The sequence below is a fragment of the Homo sapiens genome, chromosome 3 (genome assembly GCF_000001405.40).
Source record: "Homo sapiens chromosome 3, GRCh38.p14 Primary Assembly".
Classification (NCBI taxonomy): Eukaryota; Metazoa; Chordata; class Mammalia; order Primates; family Hominidae; genus Homo; species Homo sapiens.
Window position 1 is genome coordinate 120,511,876 of NC_000003.12, and position 17,405 is coordinate 120,529,280.

At 40.6% G+C, this 17,405-nt stretch overlaps 1 pseudogene; it reads left to right on the plus strand.

Moving 5' to 3' along the window:
• On the plus strand, positions 942–1,355 carry RPL34P9 (ribosomal protein L34 pseudogene 9; annotated as a pseudogene).

A 17,405-nucleotide genomic window follows, 5' to 3' on the forward strand; every position in this document is an offset into this window, starting at 1 on the left:
GTGCTTTTTTCCTTTCATTTCTTTTGTAAAGCTTTTTTATTTTATTTTATTTTATTTTTGAGACAGAGTCTCACTCTGTCACCCAAGCTGGAGTGCAGTGGCATGATCTCAGCTCACCACAACCTCCGCCTGCTTGGTTCAAGCAATTCTCCTGTCTCTACCTCCCGAGTAGCTGGAATTACAGGCACGTGCCACCAAGCCCAGCTAATTTTTGTATTTTTAGTAGAGAAGGGTTTTCACGATGTTGGCCAAGCTGGTCTCGAACTCCTGACCTCAGGTGATCCACCTGCCTTGGCCTCCCAAAGTGCTGGGATTACAGGTGTGAGCCACCTCGCCTGGCCGTAAAGCTTTTAAATAAACTTTTACTCCTGCTCTAAGACTTGCCTCAGTCTCTCCTTCTGCCTTATGCCCCTCAGTTGAATTCTTTCTTCTCAGGAGGCAAGTATTGAGGTTGCTTCAGACCCATACAGATTCACTGCCAGTAACTCGGATACTTGCCACTGGTAACAAAAGGATTCATAGAAATTCATAGAAATGGTATCATAGAAATGATTCATAGAAATGAAAGAGGAAATGATAGATACCGGTCCCACCTTTGCACATATTCCAGCTGACATATTGCCTTCTCAATACCACACCTCTGAGAGGGCAAAAATTAATTACCTGAGTGGATTTTTTTTAATGCAGAATAAGATTGTATGTGCCTGAATTCTTATAAAACTCTATAAAGGGCTTCCATGCTTAAATAGCTATTTCCTCTAGTAGCTTTTGATTGATGGATAATTTTCTCACATTCTAACAGATGTCTCAGCCATTTCTGCCACCTGTAGCAGAAAATATTCTGCACATAACACTTTTACTAATATAATACAGTAATGAATCAATAGAAATATTACTGCACTCTGCTTTAAAGAAAAGACATCTCAAGAAAACAAGGTCAGCTCTTCCAGGGATGCTGTCTGGAAGCGCTCAGAATGTCAGTGTTTGACATATTGTCTTAGGCTTCCTACAACAGCCTCTAACAGAACTCTGCTGTACTGAACCCCTAGTAATAGAATTGTTTACCTTTACACCAAGAAGGATGGAAAAGCACCAAAATCTGCATGTGGTGTGTGCCCAGGCCGACTTTGAGGGATTTCTGCTGTGAGACCTAAAGTTCTTATGATTGGCCAGTATGAAAAAACATGTCAGCAGGGCCTAAGGTGTCCCATGTGTGCCAAATGTGCCTGTGACAAGTTGAAAGGTGCTTTCCTTATCAAGAAGGAGAAAATTGTTTCAAAGGTGTTGAAGGCACAAGAAAGTAAGAAAGCTAAATTTAAAAAATGAAGCTTTTTTGGTTATAAAAAAATCAAAAGGCAACAGCAGCAACAAGACAAGGTCAAAATGAGGTAACTGAGTGAAAAAACAAAAACAAAAACAAAACAAACGAACTGGGGGCCAAGCATGGTGGCTCATTCCTGTAATCTCAGCACTTGGGAGGCTGAGGTAGGAGGATCACTTGAACCCAGGAGTTTGAGACCAGTCTGGGAAACATAGGGAGAGCCCATCTCTAGAAAAAAAATTACCTGGGCATGGTGGCCCACAGATACTCAGGAAGCTGAGGTGGGAGGATTGCTTGAGCCTGGGAGTTCGAGGCTGCAGTGAGTGAGCTATCATCATGCCACTGCACTCCAGTCTGGGCAACGGAGTGAAACCCTGTCTCTAAAAAAATCAAAATCAAAATTAACTGGCAGTACAGGTTCAACTCCTCCAAATCTACTCTTGGAACCATGTATATAATTACTGATCTTCAGAATGATGCATGGGAACTGCATTATCATCAGTCTTTAAAAATTGTTTTATTAAGTTTACAATTTACTAAATGTCTTTTATGAGCCCAGATCTCCTCTAAATTTTATGGGGAATGAAGAAATATGATACATGGCACCTGTCCTCAAGCAGCTTACAGTATAATGGAAAAAACAGGGAAAATTATTTAAATCATATTAAATGCAAAGTTGTATGGCATTCAATGTAGAGAAGTTCAGGTAAGACTGTATGATGCATATTTCAGTGTTTCTAACTGGTCAACCAGTTTGGATGAGTGAATCTTGGTGGATGACCCAGTCGGTGACTGTGAGCACCTCTCCAAGCTTTCTCTTAATATGGCTTGAAATTGTGTTTTATTTTCAGCATCTACATTATAAACTACTTCTAAAACTGTTTCACAATAATGCTTCTAACACTGTTTTTTAATATCCTACTCTTGTGCAGTTCATTTTTTGAAGCTATAAATAAAATTTATATTTATCCTTATTCAATTATTCTGATTGGTTGATGCTCATTGATCTAATTCATTAAAATAATTTGGACCCTGGTTGTATCATTCAATTTATTAGCTTTCCCTCCCAACTTTAGTCACCTGATTCAACTTGGATATATCTTAATTATAAGGAATTTTAGTGCACTGTGAAGTTTTTGAAAAATTGTCCTATATATTATCTCATTTTATGATCTAAGTCTCTGGGCAGTGATTATTCCCTTTCTTACAGGTGGCCACTGAAGCTCAGGGCAGTGAGGTGACTTACTAGCAAGTGCAGAGCTAGGACAAGGATTCATGTCTAGTATTCATGTCATGTATTCGAGACTAGTGCCTTGGTACCCTTTCTTTATTTAAAATACTATATATATATATATATATATATATATCCTCCCCCTCCCCCTCCCCCCTCCCTCTCCTTCTTCTTTACAGAGTCTTGCTCTGTGTCCAGGCTAGAGTGCAGTGGCACAATCACAGCTCACTGCAGCCTTGACCTTCTGGGCTCAAGAGATCCTCCCATCTTAGCCTCCTGAGTAGCTGAGGCCCTAGAGGTGCACTGCCATGCCTGCTAATTTTTAAATCTTTTTGTAGAGATAGGGTCTCCCTATGTTGCCCAGGCTGGTCTCAAACTCCTGGACCAAAGTTATCCTCCTGCCTTGTCTTCCTGAAGTGCTGGGATTACAGGCATGAATCACTATGCCCAGCCAAAATATTACATTTTTTCAAAGGAATATTTTTGTTTATTTTTAATTTTAAAGATCACATGTTGAATATGTTAACAATGCATAAACTCAGATACTACAGATACTGAACATCCCCTTTGGCCCCTCTTCCAACCCCACATCCCTCTCCAAAGGTACTCACTCAACTCAATTTGGAGTGTATTCTTCAAGACCTTTCCCCATATACTTCTTCATTTCTGGAAATAGTTCATTCTGTGGGACGTTGTACTTGTTTGTCTAAACTTGCCTTTTTCACTTCATAATATATCTTAGAGCTCTTTCCATGTCCTCATTTACATATATTATTTATCTTTTTATCTGATGCATAGTGTTCCATTACAGGAATGTATATAATTTAACTTTTCCCTGTTGATAAACATTAAGAATGTTTTCAGTTTTATTGCTAAAAAAGTGTACATGACTCACTGGGCACATGTGTGAAGAATTCTCTAGGCTGGATACCTGGGTGGAATTGTCACTTGAAAAGTATGTATATTTAAAATCTTGGTAACAAATGCCAACATTGTCTTCCAGAAAGGTTATATCAATGTATATTCCCATCGAGACATATGAGGGTGGTATTTTCTCACACTTTCAGTAATAATGATTAGTGCTAATTGTTACAGTTTTTATTAATCTGAATTTCTCCAATTACTAATGAGTTTGAGTATCTCATATTTCCTTTTCTATTAATTGCTTATTCTTATAATAGCCTCTCTACTATTACTTATATTGTCTTCATATGGATCCCCAAAAGCAGTGTTGAGTAAGACAGAAACATGTAGAAAACTACAAACCGCCTTAGGGACCTTCCTCTATGAGAGATACAAATCTACTAGTAAACATTTTAATGCAGTTGATCAGCAGTGGATTCCCCCAACTAGTTTACAAACCGAGTAACATCCCTCCATCATGTTCAAATGAATATTATGAGCATCTTTGCAAAGCATTGTGCTGAAAAAAAGATTAGTCATGCCTGGTATTCCCATAGTCCATCTTTTAGCTCTTCCAGAAAATAATATGAAGGCTGTTTAGCTTGTCTTAATTATTAGCTTACAAATGTTTCTTAATATGCATTCTAGAGTATTGCTGAAAGTAATGCTAAGCTCACACTATAAATTCCATAATCCATTTTTTCCTCCTTTTAAAAAAACTAGTTTTGCCTTGCTTAGATTTCTGGCACCTGGCCCATTTTCTATTTTCCAGAGATAAGAGGCAGTGGTTCTGAGACCTATAATCTTTCATTCGGTCTGCAAAGCCTATATTCCAGGTCGTCTCTGACTCTCTCCTCATTTGGGTTGTGCCTCAATTCCCTCTCTGTGATATTGGTTCTACCCTTCTCAGTATGAAGACTATGTTCCTTGCTGGAGAAGAAAGGAGAAATTGAGTGCCTCTGCCTTTTCTCTGTTATCACTTAACAGGTTCTTCTCTTGGCAGTCAGCTTATCCTTTCCCTTATCTGCTGGCTTCAAACTGTGTATGTTTTTAAAGCCCTTTCTGTGGTCCTCCTCACTTAGCACTGCTCAGCCTCTTCTGGAGTTTTCCTTCTATCGCTTTCTTCCCGGGTTCGTATCACCCATTGTCTCACTCTCCTTGGTTTGTGCCCTTTCTCTCATTTTTTGGTACACGCCATTTCAAAACAGACTCATCAAAGGACGCCACGTTGGATCATATTGGTTTCTGCAGTATAAAGTTTTATTTTTCAGAGTTCAAAATTTTAAAAATGTATTGCTTTCTATTGCCTCTGACCTTGGGGTTATAATTATATTTCTGTGAACTTTTTGAAGTTTGCTTTCCTAAAGCCTCAATTACATGTCTACTATAACCAGAGGTTCTTTCTTTTTTTCTATATTACAGAATCTGGGAAGACATGACTCCTTTCTTTCATCTTCAGGAAGGCAAAGACTGCATTTTATGTTGTATATTTGTTGAAGCGAAGATTTCTATCATATAAACATCACCAACAAGTCCTTCCTTGCTGGTCAGAATTGAGTGTAGAGTAGCAGTTCCTGTCATTCCTTCTCGTCCCTTTTGAAAGATGAAATTATCAGGAAAGCAAGTCAAGAATGCATTAAATTCTAAGCTTGTTGTAGAGATTTAGAACAGATGTCTAAATAGTTCTAGTGCCCATCAATATTACACCTTGTCTCTGTGACAGTTTTATCATTTAATTTAGGAAAGCATCCATCCTCCAACTCTTCCATTTAGCCTGACATTCTTAGCATGTTCTCGCTCTCACAAATAACACTACTCTCTTCCCCTCATTTAATCCTCTCCACGTACTGTAAGCTGTACGTGTGGATTCCATATATTTGCAATTTTGATGCATGGGGGTATTGTGTATCCATGTTTATCAGACTTCTTTATATTGAAAAACATGCGCCATTCCATTACTGAAACCAGTTCCATTTCCTCAAGTGTCAGTAACATTTAGGACGTCATATTTATGTGAGTGTTAGATGCTATGATGCACCCCTCATTCCCCTTCAGGAATAAAGGAATTATTACTCCAGCGACTGGGAGTGCCACTGAAGCTGGTCTTCAACTGTCAGTCCCTTTGGGGACTGCCTCAGCAGAGGAAAGTGGCCTCATCCCTCACAAATATGCCCCTTCCAGGGTAGCCTGCACCCATTCAGTGGTCTCTCATGCTCAATTCAGGACAGCTCTGAGGGTGGTCACGTCTTCAGAATTCCTCAGCAGCGCTGGCTGACACAGTTCACTAAGATTGCATTGGAGCTCTACTTCTCCCTCTGCTCAATCTTGCTGCTTCTGTTCCACGGGCATTAGTTCCAAGACCACTCCCTAATAAACTCCCTAAATGCCATCTCCATCTCAGGATCTGCTTCCTGGGAAACCCAATTAGGGAGAATTTGTTTGTTTTAAAGTTTCAGGTATATTATATTATCTTATGCATTGCAATATCAATAATTGAGCCTTCAGTATTATTCCCAATCTGGTCTTCTGCTATTTTCTTGGAATTACTGAGAATTTCTGAGCTTTTCTTCCTCCCTCTATGAATCTTCTTTTCATGCCATACATGTTAACTTCTATTTACATGATTTAGAAATTTCTTCTCACCCTTTCTCTTCTTTTCCTCCAAACTTCATGCAAGCAAATCCCTTTGACTAGTGAGCTTTGTTTCTGAAACATTTTTTCTAATCTTCTCAACAGGCATCTCTTGCCTTGTTTATCAGGAATCTGTTATTTTGGTATTGTAAACCAGAGTTGAGAAGAAAAAATATTGACATCATCTTCTGAGACCCTTTTCACTTGCAGCAGTCTTAATCCTCCAAAGGCACAATTTTTGACTAGAAGAGCCCAGATAGTGCTGGTACATTAAGCTTCTGCCTGTGACCCTGAGAGCCTTTTGTGGTGGGGATTCAGTGGGAGGCATTGTCTCCTGAGGGAGGGCACAGTGGGCTCATATTCTTGGAGGAGTTCTCAAGGGCCAATGAGCCCTGTGTATTAGTTTGGCTCCTCTGAGAATGTGATGGGACAGAGTCAAGAGTTTAAGAGTTAAAATAAAGGGGGAGAAAGCAGGCTGGGGCAGGGAAAGATTTCAGACTGTGATGTGAATCTGACAGTGATGAAAGGAAAGTGAGAAGGAAGCAGAACTGGGCAGGGAGAACTTCGGACCATGCTGCAGATCTAACAGAGTCTCGGCCAAGCCAATGAGAAGATCTAGAGCGAAGACTGCCTATTAGAGGTGTCTAGCAATGATCAGAAATGGCCAGGCCTACCATCCCTATTTGGCCATTGACTAGGGGCTGCCTGGGAAAAGCATGGCTTGGGCTTGAAAGTTGAGGTAGATCCTGGCAGCTAAATGTTTAGTCCTTTCTTGAAGGGTCAAGTGGGGCACCTCCATGGCTGCCACAGTCCTCCTGTGTGCCATGTGGTTCTCCTTCCCTGTACACTTTCAGGGAGCAGCTCCTCTAGGATTCTACTGGGCCCATCTCCCTGAGGAAAATCTTAGAAGAGGAAGGTTAGTGGGATGAACTATATCCCCTATCACTCACAAAACCATCCAGAATGAGATTTCTCATTGTTAGTAGGGCAGGAGGGATAAGGCCCAGCAGCTCATCTTGTCACCTGCTTTCTTGAATCATGGTCTATAGCAACTGTGTCAGTTGGGTCCTCCAGGAAGCAGATGCTGAGACACAGTAGGGAGTGTGAGACATTTATTGGGGGTGGGGATGTATGGGTAGGGATGACACCTGTGAAAGACAAGGGAAGGAAGCAGGACAGAGTGGGGAAGGCTTTAGACCATAATGCAGATATGACATCTGTGAAAAGAAAGAGGGGAAGAAAGTAGAATTGTGAAGGAAGACCATCAAACTGCAATGCAGATCTGACAGTCTTGGTCGACCCAGTGGAGAATTCTGGATTAAAGATGGTCTGTTAGAAGAGTCCCACATTGGGTAGAAATGACCACGCCCAGGCCCCCACCATGCTTAGCTCCTGACTGGAGGCTGCATGGGAAGAGCATGGTCTTGGCATTGCAGCTTCAGGCTGTTAGCTAACTGGATCTTTGCAGCTGAGCAGCAAGCTCTGCCTTGAAGGGAGACCTCTATGCTGCCATATCTTGCTTGAGCATGCCAACTCAGATTCGACGGCATTAGGGAACCAGGTTTCATTCCCTTTCATGACACAGTCTCATATCCTGGCCTGACCATGACTTACAAGGTGACCTATCATCGAGGGGCCTAGAAGTCTAGTTTGAGGTGGAGGAAGGAAGCCTATGTCTGTAAAATAAAGCATTTCATCCTATGGGGACGTTATCTATCTCTCTAGGATGCTAGGAGAACACGTGCTTCTCAGCACCTGGTGGAGCAGGATGTGCTGCTACTGCTTCTGTATTCCTGGATCTACCTTCATCCCAAAAGCCCCATGGATACTCTGGTTCCTCTAGGCACTCTTTCTACTTTTCGGCCTCTTGATAATTATTTTGAATTATCTCTGCCTCTTCGGGATCTTTTTTATTTATTTTTTTTCCAGTATAATTTCTTAAAGACTCTCTGAAAATCCTCTCCCTTTCTCATGGTAAATTGCAGCACCAGAGAGATAGCAAGGAAATGTTAGTTCTGCGGCTAACATGAATGTTGAGTGATACTGTGTTGGTTTCTGAGACAGCTGAAAACAGTTATCCATTTCTAATGTGGCAGGACATTCAGCATGGAAGCCTTCAATGAGAGGGTGGGCCGTAGGTAGGCCAGAGGGAGCCCAGCTCATCCTCAGTTACACATGCAGGGGCCTCACTGTCTCTGAGTAGACAGTAGGTTGGATGTGGTTAAATATTTCATTCTCTGAGTAGAGGGGCCCGGGCAAGACCTCATTTACTCCAAGGTCCAAGGGAATGGGACAGATTTAAATGTCTGGAGAATAAGCCATGCTTGTGATTTAGATTGTCTCAATCAGTGGTATTCTCTGTGTTTATTTTCCCATTGGTTATGATCCCAGTTTGGAGCTCAGCCGTTTTGGAAAAATCTAGCCTCGTAGAGGCTGTGCTATAGTTTTCAAGGGAAGGACCATTCATCTATGTTTTAATTAGAGCCTTTAGGAAGGAGGTGCTCAGTATTAAAGGGGCAAACCATAAAGACAAGTGACTCTCACCAGCACGTTCTCTTTGGTCAACCTTGAGGATGGTACATTTTTTACAGGGGTGCTCATCAAATCTTAGTGTTCTGTCTTCTAAGAAGGTGACCACCTTGCATATACACAATAAATATTTGATTGGAAACTCAAGCAAAAAGAGAAACAGCACCCACGCTCAAGTCCTATAACATCTTCCCCAGAGAGTATGCTTTCTAGGTCTTAATTCCTCTCTCATAAAGAAATAACTTTTTAGTAATAGTAATGTCTGACACCGGAGTAGCGACGGCTATTCAGGGAATGTTCTGAGCATGTTATAATTACATATTAACCCATTTTCTTTCTTTTCTTTTCTTTTGTTTTTGAGACAGAGTCTCGCTCTGTCGCCCAGGCTGGAGTGCAGTGGCACGATCTTGGCTCACTGCAACCTCCACCTCCTGGGTTCAAGCAATTCTCCTGCCTCAGCCTCCTGAATAGCTGGGATTACAGGCATGCACCACCATGCCCAAATAATTTTGTTTTGTATTTTTAGTAGAGACAAGGTTTCACCATGTTGGCCACACTGGTCTCGAACTCCTGACCTCATGTGATCCGCCCACCTTGGCCTCCCAAAGTGCTGGGATTACAGGTGTGAGCCACTGCTCCCAGCCTAACCATTTGATTTTCACAACAATAAACTCCATGAGGTAGGTGGTGTTATTTCCCCCATTTTGCAGATGGTGAAGCTGTGGCATAGAGAGGTGGAGTGACTTTTCCAAGGTCACAATAAGCAGCAGGCAGTAAATGAGCGCATGTACACGTAGGAACCCCTAGACTACATTGCCCTTTAAAATATTCATCAAGCCTCCTTATGGTGTCTCAAGAAATGTTACAGAAAGATTTGAAAGTAGGTGGTTATTTGAAAAAATTTAAGCCAAAGAAGAGTCCTTTTTTAGGTGGGCTCTCCCAGTTATTTCTCCCCTTGGGAACCAACATTGTCACCATATGCCGGGCCTCTGTACTAAGGGCCTGATTCACTTCACTGCTGACTCTAGGGCTTCTGAGAAGGCTCTTTTAAGTCTGTAGGTTGGTCTCCCTCTTTCTAAGCAGCCTTGGCCTATTAGCAAAGCAATTAACACCTGGAAAGATCACTTCCCCAGCAGCACTCTACAATAATTAGTTGATCTCTTCCCACCTGTTTGCCAAGACTATTCGGTTAGCTTCTTAGTTTAGGAACCTGTGAGAAGCCTTTTAAATTCACTTTGGTCTTTTTTAAGTTGTTATTTTTTACCCTTAGGAAACAAGCAAAGCAATGAGTGCTTAGTAATAAATTAAGGCAGAACATAATCCATTTTAGAAAGATTTTTCTACGGGAGATTTTTTTCCAGTTAACCTTCTATCTCCCATTACCCAGGAAATTAAATTAAAAAGAATGTCCAATTCCCTGGGCAAGTTGGTTAATCAATATTTCAATGTAAAACAAAGTTAATATTTTTGGCCATTAATTTGATTTTTCTCTAGAGAACATATTCATTTGATTAATATTTTTTCCTTGTAACTCTCTCACCTTGTGAATCTTTCCAATCTAATATTTCCTTGTTTGAGAATAGTTTGAGAATTCTGCCCTTACTATAAGAAAATGTTCATGGAATTGGTAGATGGGATAAATATCACAGAGCTATTCATGGGACCTGGGACTCCACATCATTTTTCTTATCACCTAAAGCAGAGCAGCTTGTCATCTGTGAGGCTCCAGTTTGGGTTCCAGCACCAGCTGGACACTAGTGATTGGCCATATATTGTGTAATGCGTATTACTTGCCAGCTTTTAGAATTAATTGAACCCAGAATCATGTCCTTTCACCAGGTTTGTGGATGTCATATATGTAAGATTCATCAAAGCCTGTGGAGCATTTTCTAGGTTCCAGTGAAGCAAGGTCCATGTTTCTCAAATCATGGTCCATCGCCAACAACATCAGATCAACTTAGGGACAGTGTTAAAATGGAAATGCCTCAGCCCCTGGCAGCATTCTCATTCTCTACTGCATGAGAATATTCAGATCAGGCCCAGACATGGGTGTTTTTAAAATTCTTAAGCACATTGAAGTTTGAGGCCCATAAGCTAGCCAAAGTAAATGGTGCAAGTTAAAAATCAGCTGAAGGTGGCTGGGCACGGTGGCTCACGCCTGTAATCCCAGCACTCTGGGAGGCCAAGGTGGGTGGATCACCTGAGGTCAGGAGTTCAAGACCAGCCTGGCCAACATGGTGAAACCTTGTCTCTACTAAAAATACAGAAATTAGCTGGGCATGGTGGCAGGTGCCTGTAATCTCAGCTACTCAGGAGGCTGAGGAAGGAGAATTGCTTGAACCCGGGAGGCGGAGGTTGTGGTGAGCCGAGATCGTGCCACAGTACACCAGCCTGGGTGACAGAGTGAGACTCTGTCTCAAAAACAAAAAACAAAAAACAAACAAAAAAAAAACAGAATCAGCTGAAGGTACTATTTTTTTGTAGATATTCACAAGCTGGTTCTAAAATTTATATGGAAAGACAAAGGAATTAGAATAGTCAAAAGAATTTTGAAAAATAATAACATGGTTGGAGGATTCATATCACCTGGTTTCAAGACTTACTAAAAAGCTATAGGAATCAAGACTGTGTGGTATTGGCAAAAGATAGGCAGAGAGATCAGGGGAACAGAATAGAGAATCCAGAAATAGACACTCAAATATGGTCAATTGAATTTTGACAAAGTGCAAATTAAATTTAAAGGAGAAGGGACAGTCTTTGTAACAAATGGTGCAGGAACAATTGGATGTCCATATGCATAAAAGTGAACCACAAACTATATCCCAAGCTTTATATAAAAATTAACTCAAAATGGGTCGTGTAACTAAATATAAATGTAAAACTATAAAACTTTTAGAAGAAAACAGGAGAAAATCTTTGTGAACTGGAGCTAGACAGAGTTCTTAGAACAGCAAAAGTATAATCCCTAAAAGAAAAAAAAATTGATAAATGGGGACTTCATTAAAACTTAGTTTTACATTGCATGGACATCACTAAGAGAATGAATGAAAAGCTACACATTGGGAGAAACTATTTGCATATCACATATATGACAAAGGCCTTTTATTCAAAAATATATAAAGAACTTTCAAAAAACTCAACAGTAAGAAAACAACCCAATAAAAAAATGAGGAAAAGGTTTGAACAGATACTTTGTCAAAGAAGGTAATACAGCCGGGCACGGTGGCTTATGCCTGTTGTCCCAACACTTTGGGAGACCAAGGTGGGCAGATCACTTGAGGTCAGGAGTTCGAGACCAGCCTGGCCAACATGGTGAAACCCCGTCTCTACCAAAAATACACAAATTAGCCGGGTGTGGTGGGGGGCGCCTGTAATCCCAGCTACTCAGGAGGTTGAGGCAGGAGAACTGCTTGAATCCAGGAGGCAGAGGTTGCTGTGAGCCGAGATCATGCCACTGCACTCCAGCCTGGGTGACAGAGGGAAACTCTGTCTCAAAAACAAACAAAAACAAAAACAAAAACAAAAAAACCCCCCAAAAACAAGAAGTTAATACATGATGGCAAAAAAAAAAAAAATACATGGAAAGATGCTCAACATCACTATTTATTAGGAAAATGCAAATTAAAACCATAATGAGATAACACTGTACACTTATTAGGATGACTAAAGCAAAACAAAGCAAAACAAAACAGAATGAAACAAACTGATAATTCCAAGAGCTTATGGGGATGATGTGGAGTAACTGGAACTCATATTGCTGATAAAAAGATCAAATGATACAGTCATATTGTATTCTTAGAAAACGTTGGCAGTTTCTTAGTTAAACATACACTTACAGTATCACTCAGCAATCACACCCGTAGGTGTTTATCCAATACAAATGAAAATTTATGTTCACACAGAAACCTACAAGTGAATATTTATAAAAGCTTTACTCATAAATGCCCCAAACTGGCAACAACCCGAACGTCTTACAACTGGCGAATGTATAAACAGATTGTGTATCCATTCAGTGGAACACTATTCAGCAATAAAGAATGAACTATTGTATATGCACCAAAATAAATGACTCTCAAATGCATTTTTCTAAGTGAAACAAGCCAGTGGATACATACTATAGGATTCCTATTACATGACATTAAGGAAAGGATAAACTACAGGGACAGAGAACTGATCAGTGGTTTCCAGGAACTCAGGGAAAGGGGAGTTTTTTTTGTTTTGTTTTTGTTTTTAACCACAAAAGGGCAGCATGTATGCAGGGAATAATGGAGCTGTTTCAAGTCTTAATTGTGGTTTGATTACATCACTATGTGTTTGTCATGACTCAGAACTACAAGTCAAAAAATATGAATTTTACTTATGAGATTCTAAATAAAAATTTTAAAAATAATCAGCTGAGGCATATCTGATTCAAAACTGCCAAGAGACCAAAACCAATGTTTATTGTCTATTATGAGCAGGGCCTGGACTGGTGTTGGGAAGAAAACAACACCTCACAGTAAGCTCCTTCTCCTCATAGACACCAATCCACTGGAAGACACAAGCAGGCACACAAATAACTAATATGAGGCAGTGAGGGATATGCGCTCAGAAAAGGAGCAAAGAGGGTCTAAGTGAAGAACGCTGGATTTTTACTAGGAGAATTCTCAGTGTGGAGAACTGTAAAGCTGAGTCATAGTAAAAAATAGAGCAGATTGTAAACTGACAAAAATAAGATAGGAGAAAGTTATGAGCACGGAAAAATATGGTTATTGATCTGGGAGGGTAAGGCAATAGAAGCAAATTCTAAATGTAATGAGATTGAATCAATGGATATGATGCTATTTTTTAAAAAGGCAAATCAAGTCATTCAGTACTGATTCCTCCCAAGGAAGGGAAATGAACGGATAAATGTATGAAGTTGCGTTGACTTTAGATCCTATTAGCAATTTCTTTATGCCTTCCCTACTCCCCCATACAATAGTTCCGTGCTCCGAGAGCTACTGTTGCAAGAAAAGCCAAGTCTTCCATAAGTGGATATGAAGGCTATTATGAGGAGAAATCACTGTCCTTCCTGGGTGTGAGGGAGTCATTTAGTAGTTAGATCCTAAAGAGGAGGTTGGTATCAAATTAAAACTCTATTTAGAGCATCATGTGTCTAGGATAGTGGTTCTCAAAGCATGGACCCTGAACCAGCTGCAAAGCACCATTTGGGTGCTTGACAAAACTGCAGATTCTGAGGTTTTACTCCAGACCTGCTGAATTAGAAACTCTCGGGTTGGGCCCAGGAAACCCTCCAGGGGATTCTGATGAACGTTTGAGAAGTTTGAGAGTTTGTGAAGATGTCAAAAGTGAATCCTGTGCTTAACTATTGCAACCTGCTGAAGCTGATAAAGGAATGTCAACTTTTAGTGACCCACCTGCCCTCACAGAGACCCTCACTGGGCCTAACTGAAGATTCCCCCATCCGAAGAGCAATGGGTCTTGTTTTAACCAGTCATGTAAGACTTATGGTCTGGGTCTGTCCTCTTCAGAACATTAGTTTTCAGGGCTTAATTAGCATAACCACCTTGAATCCCCTCCACTTCTACAGCATTTACAAAATTCTGACTTTCCCCCTCAGCAAACTAGTCAGTGATTTTTTTGTTTTGTTTTGTTTTTGTTTTTTAACTGATGACAGGGTCTTGCTCTGTCACCCAGGCTGAAATGCTGTGTTGTGGTCACTGCTCACTGCAGCCTCCAACTCCTGGCTCATGTGATCCTCTCAAGTATCTGGGACTACAGGTGCTCTGCTTTCTTTTTTGATGTTAAAGCTCTGGTAGGTAGTCTTTATTTTATTCTTTTACAGACAACAGGCAGTCAGCAAGTGACTCTAGGATGTCAATTTAGTAAGTTTACTTTTTCATTCCTGGATAAGCACTTTAGAATAATTTCAAGACCTATATTCTCATCCTTTGCCAACCCAAATTATTGGAAGGCCCTGGGCAAACTACTTAACATCTTGTAGAACTGGTTTACTCATCTGTTAAGAGCAAGCAGGTAATTTTTCCTGTCCCACCTCAGTTGACATAATGGCTATGAAGTTACTTAGTAAAGTAGAAAGTGGATACACATTTAAGCATTATGATCATTTTGTGAGCCTTTTTCAAAACTGCGCTCAACGTCCTTGATTTTTTCCCCTTGTCATCAGAGCACCACAGAGAAAGCCTGCATCCTGGACACGGTCCAGATGCCTCTAGAGGCCTTGCCTCCATTGTTTTGGAATTACTCTGGGTGAATAGGATAACAGAAAATATTCCAGCCTAGAGGATAATGGATAAAAACATTAAATGAGAAGAGAAATACATTAGAGACTTTCCATCAGAACTTGGAAATGACATTGTAAATTGGTGTGCAGTTTTACAAGTAAAAATGCTCTAATCCTTGGAACGAGCAACTGACTTATAGTAAATCTTTTGAGCTTCCCCAAATGGCAAAGCAGTGAAAATTTTCTGCATGCTGGGGGAATCGCATTACCTGAAACAAACATATAGGGCACAGCTGATGTCTAATGTCTAGATGTCCTAGGAAATAAAATGTGGCTTCTGGTACATAAGTGGCAATTTATGCTGAATTATTTGCTAAGAGTCAAATTAGTCCCTGCAGTATGTGCAGCATTTCTGAAGAATTAAAAAATAAACGCTTTCTGCCTAAGTAATATCCTGACTTAAGGCAATTATTACTGTGCTATATCTGATATAGAAATGATCCTGAAACTTGCCCAGGGCTTGTAGAAATAAGAGGATTTCTCTAATGCATGCTAACACTGAAAAAGAAAGTCGATATCTAGGCTTGGTTTAAAAAAGGCAAGCAGGGAATAGGTTTTATGGAGGAGGGAAAGTAATTTACCAGGTATCTAGCACTTACTGTGTGCCAGGCACTGGGCTAAATGTTACACATACTGACCTTATCCTCACAATAACTCTGTGAATCTCACAGAGATATTATTTCCCTCATTTTAACAGAATAAGACATTGTCATGGCTTAGAGCAGCCAGGTGGCTTCCACAAAGTCATACAGCACACAGTTTATCACAAGCTGTGATTTAAGCTCAGATGGTGGTGTCTTTTTTCCTAAACATTGCAGCAACAATCCTGTGCTAGATAGCTTCCCTATGCTCCTCCAGGTCCCCTCTGGCAGAGACTAGCCTTTTCAATCTTACTTTGTGTGTATGGAGGCTAGCCCAACTTGACTTCCGGTTTCCAGTTGTATTCAGCCAATGGGGACTCCTGGCAGAAGGAAAAAGAAGGAGGGAAAAGAGCCAGGCCCAACTAATTGAAAATCTATTTCCTGGCTGGGCGCGGTGGCACATGCCTATAATCCCAGCACTTTAGGAGGCCGAGGTGGGCAGATCACCTGAGGTCAGGAGTTCCAGACTAGCCTGGCCAACATGGTAAAATCTCCATCTCTACTAAAAATACAAAAATTAGCCGGGCATGGTGACAGGCGCCTGTAGTCCCAGCTACTCGGAAGGCTGAGGCGGGAGAATTGCTCGAACCCGGGAGGTGGAGGTTGCAGTGAGCAGAGAACGTGCCATTGCACTCCAGCCTGGACCACAGAGCGAGACTCCATCTCAAAAAAAAAAAAAAGAAAAGAAAAAAAAAGAAAAGTGAGGCCAGGGTATTTATGCTCTCTTTCCTAGCTTTCCCAGCTTTCTCTTGCTCCGCTGACCAAAAGTTTTAGCTCCCTTCAGCCTATCCTCTCCACACAGAAGCCTTCCTCTGGGTTTTGCTGACCACTCCCTCCTCTGAGGGCCCTGCACCCTGCCACATCTCAAATCACCCAGTTTCAGTGTGACATACGGTTACGGTACACTTTAGTTTGCCCAGCTTATAAGACATCAAGGCTTAGAAATGACTGTCCCCCTACTTTGTTGTGGTGGTTGTTAGTTCTGATTCAAATGAAGTCATTGAACGACGGACTCTTTCTGCTTATCCTTCACAGTGTTCTATCTGGATAGCTTTTGGTTCAATGCTTAGAGAGTGTCTCTTCCTCCGGCTTCTGCTCCCTGAGAAAAACAAAAGGGTTTTTATGAGCAAAAGCACCTCACTGAGCCATATGTGGTTTCTGAATGATGACATTCAGAGTTCGGTGAATAGTAACAGAACCTGACATTTATGTGATGTTCTATAGCTTTACATTGATTACTTTCTATTTAAACATATGTTAGGATCTAGCTGTGCCTACAGAAAAAAATTAGCTGAACATGAAGGTACAGCAAAGTTATTTTTTAAAAGACTGGTAATGACTGAACTCCTATCAAGACATTTAATAGCTGATAAAAGTCTCACCCCTGAACTATTTCACTAAGCTAATGATACTGGTCTGTTTTGGCAGTGCTACCTAACTCCTGTTTTCTGAGTGAATTCACTGCCCATGATTTCAGGAGGATGAAGAAGAAAGAGAAACAGAATATTAAGCAGAACAGATACAATGAGTATTTTACACATGTTAATTCTGTAAGCACAATTAAAATCTTTGGTGATCAGCAAAGGTCCTAACCTTTTCAGTATAGTCCTAACATTTTCAAAGGTGTCCTTCTTAAAGGTCTAATGGGAGGCATGGATATGTAACAATTTTTTAAAAATTGGTTTCATCATGTCTTTGCATTTGAATGACAAGGCACTTTGGAATAATCATCTTACCTGAAGGTAGTTATTCTATTGTTAGATAATTGTAGTACGTAACACAAGAAAGGAAGATAGAAATGAGTAATATTTTAATATCTTTCTATCATTATGAAATTATAAAATGCCCCTTTATGAAATGTCC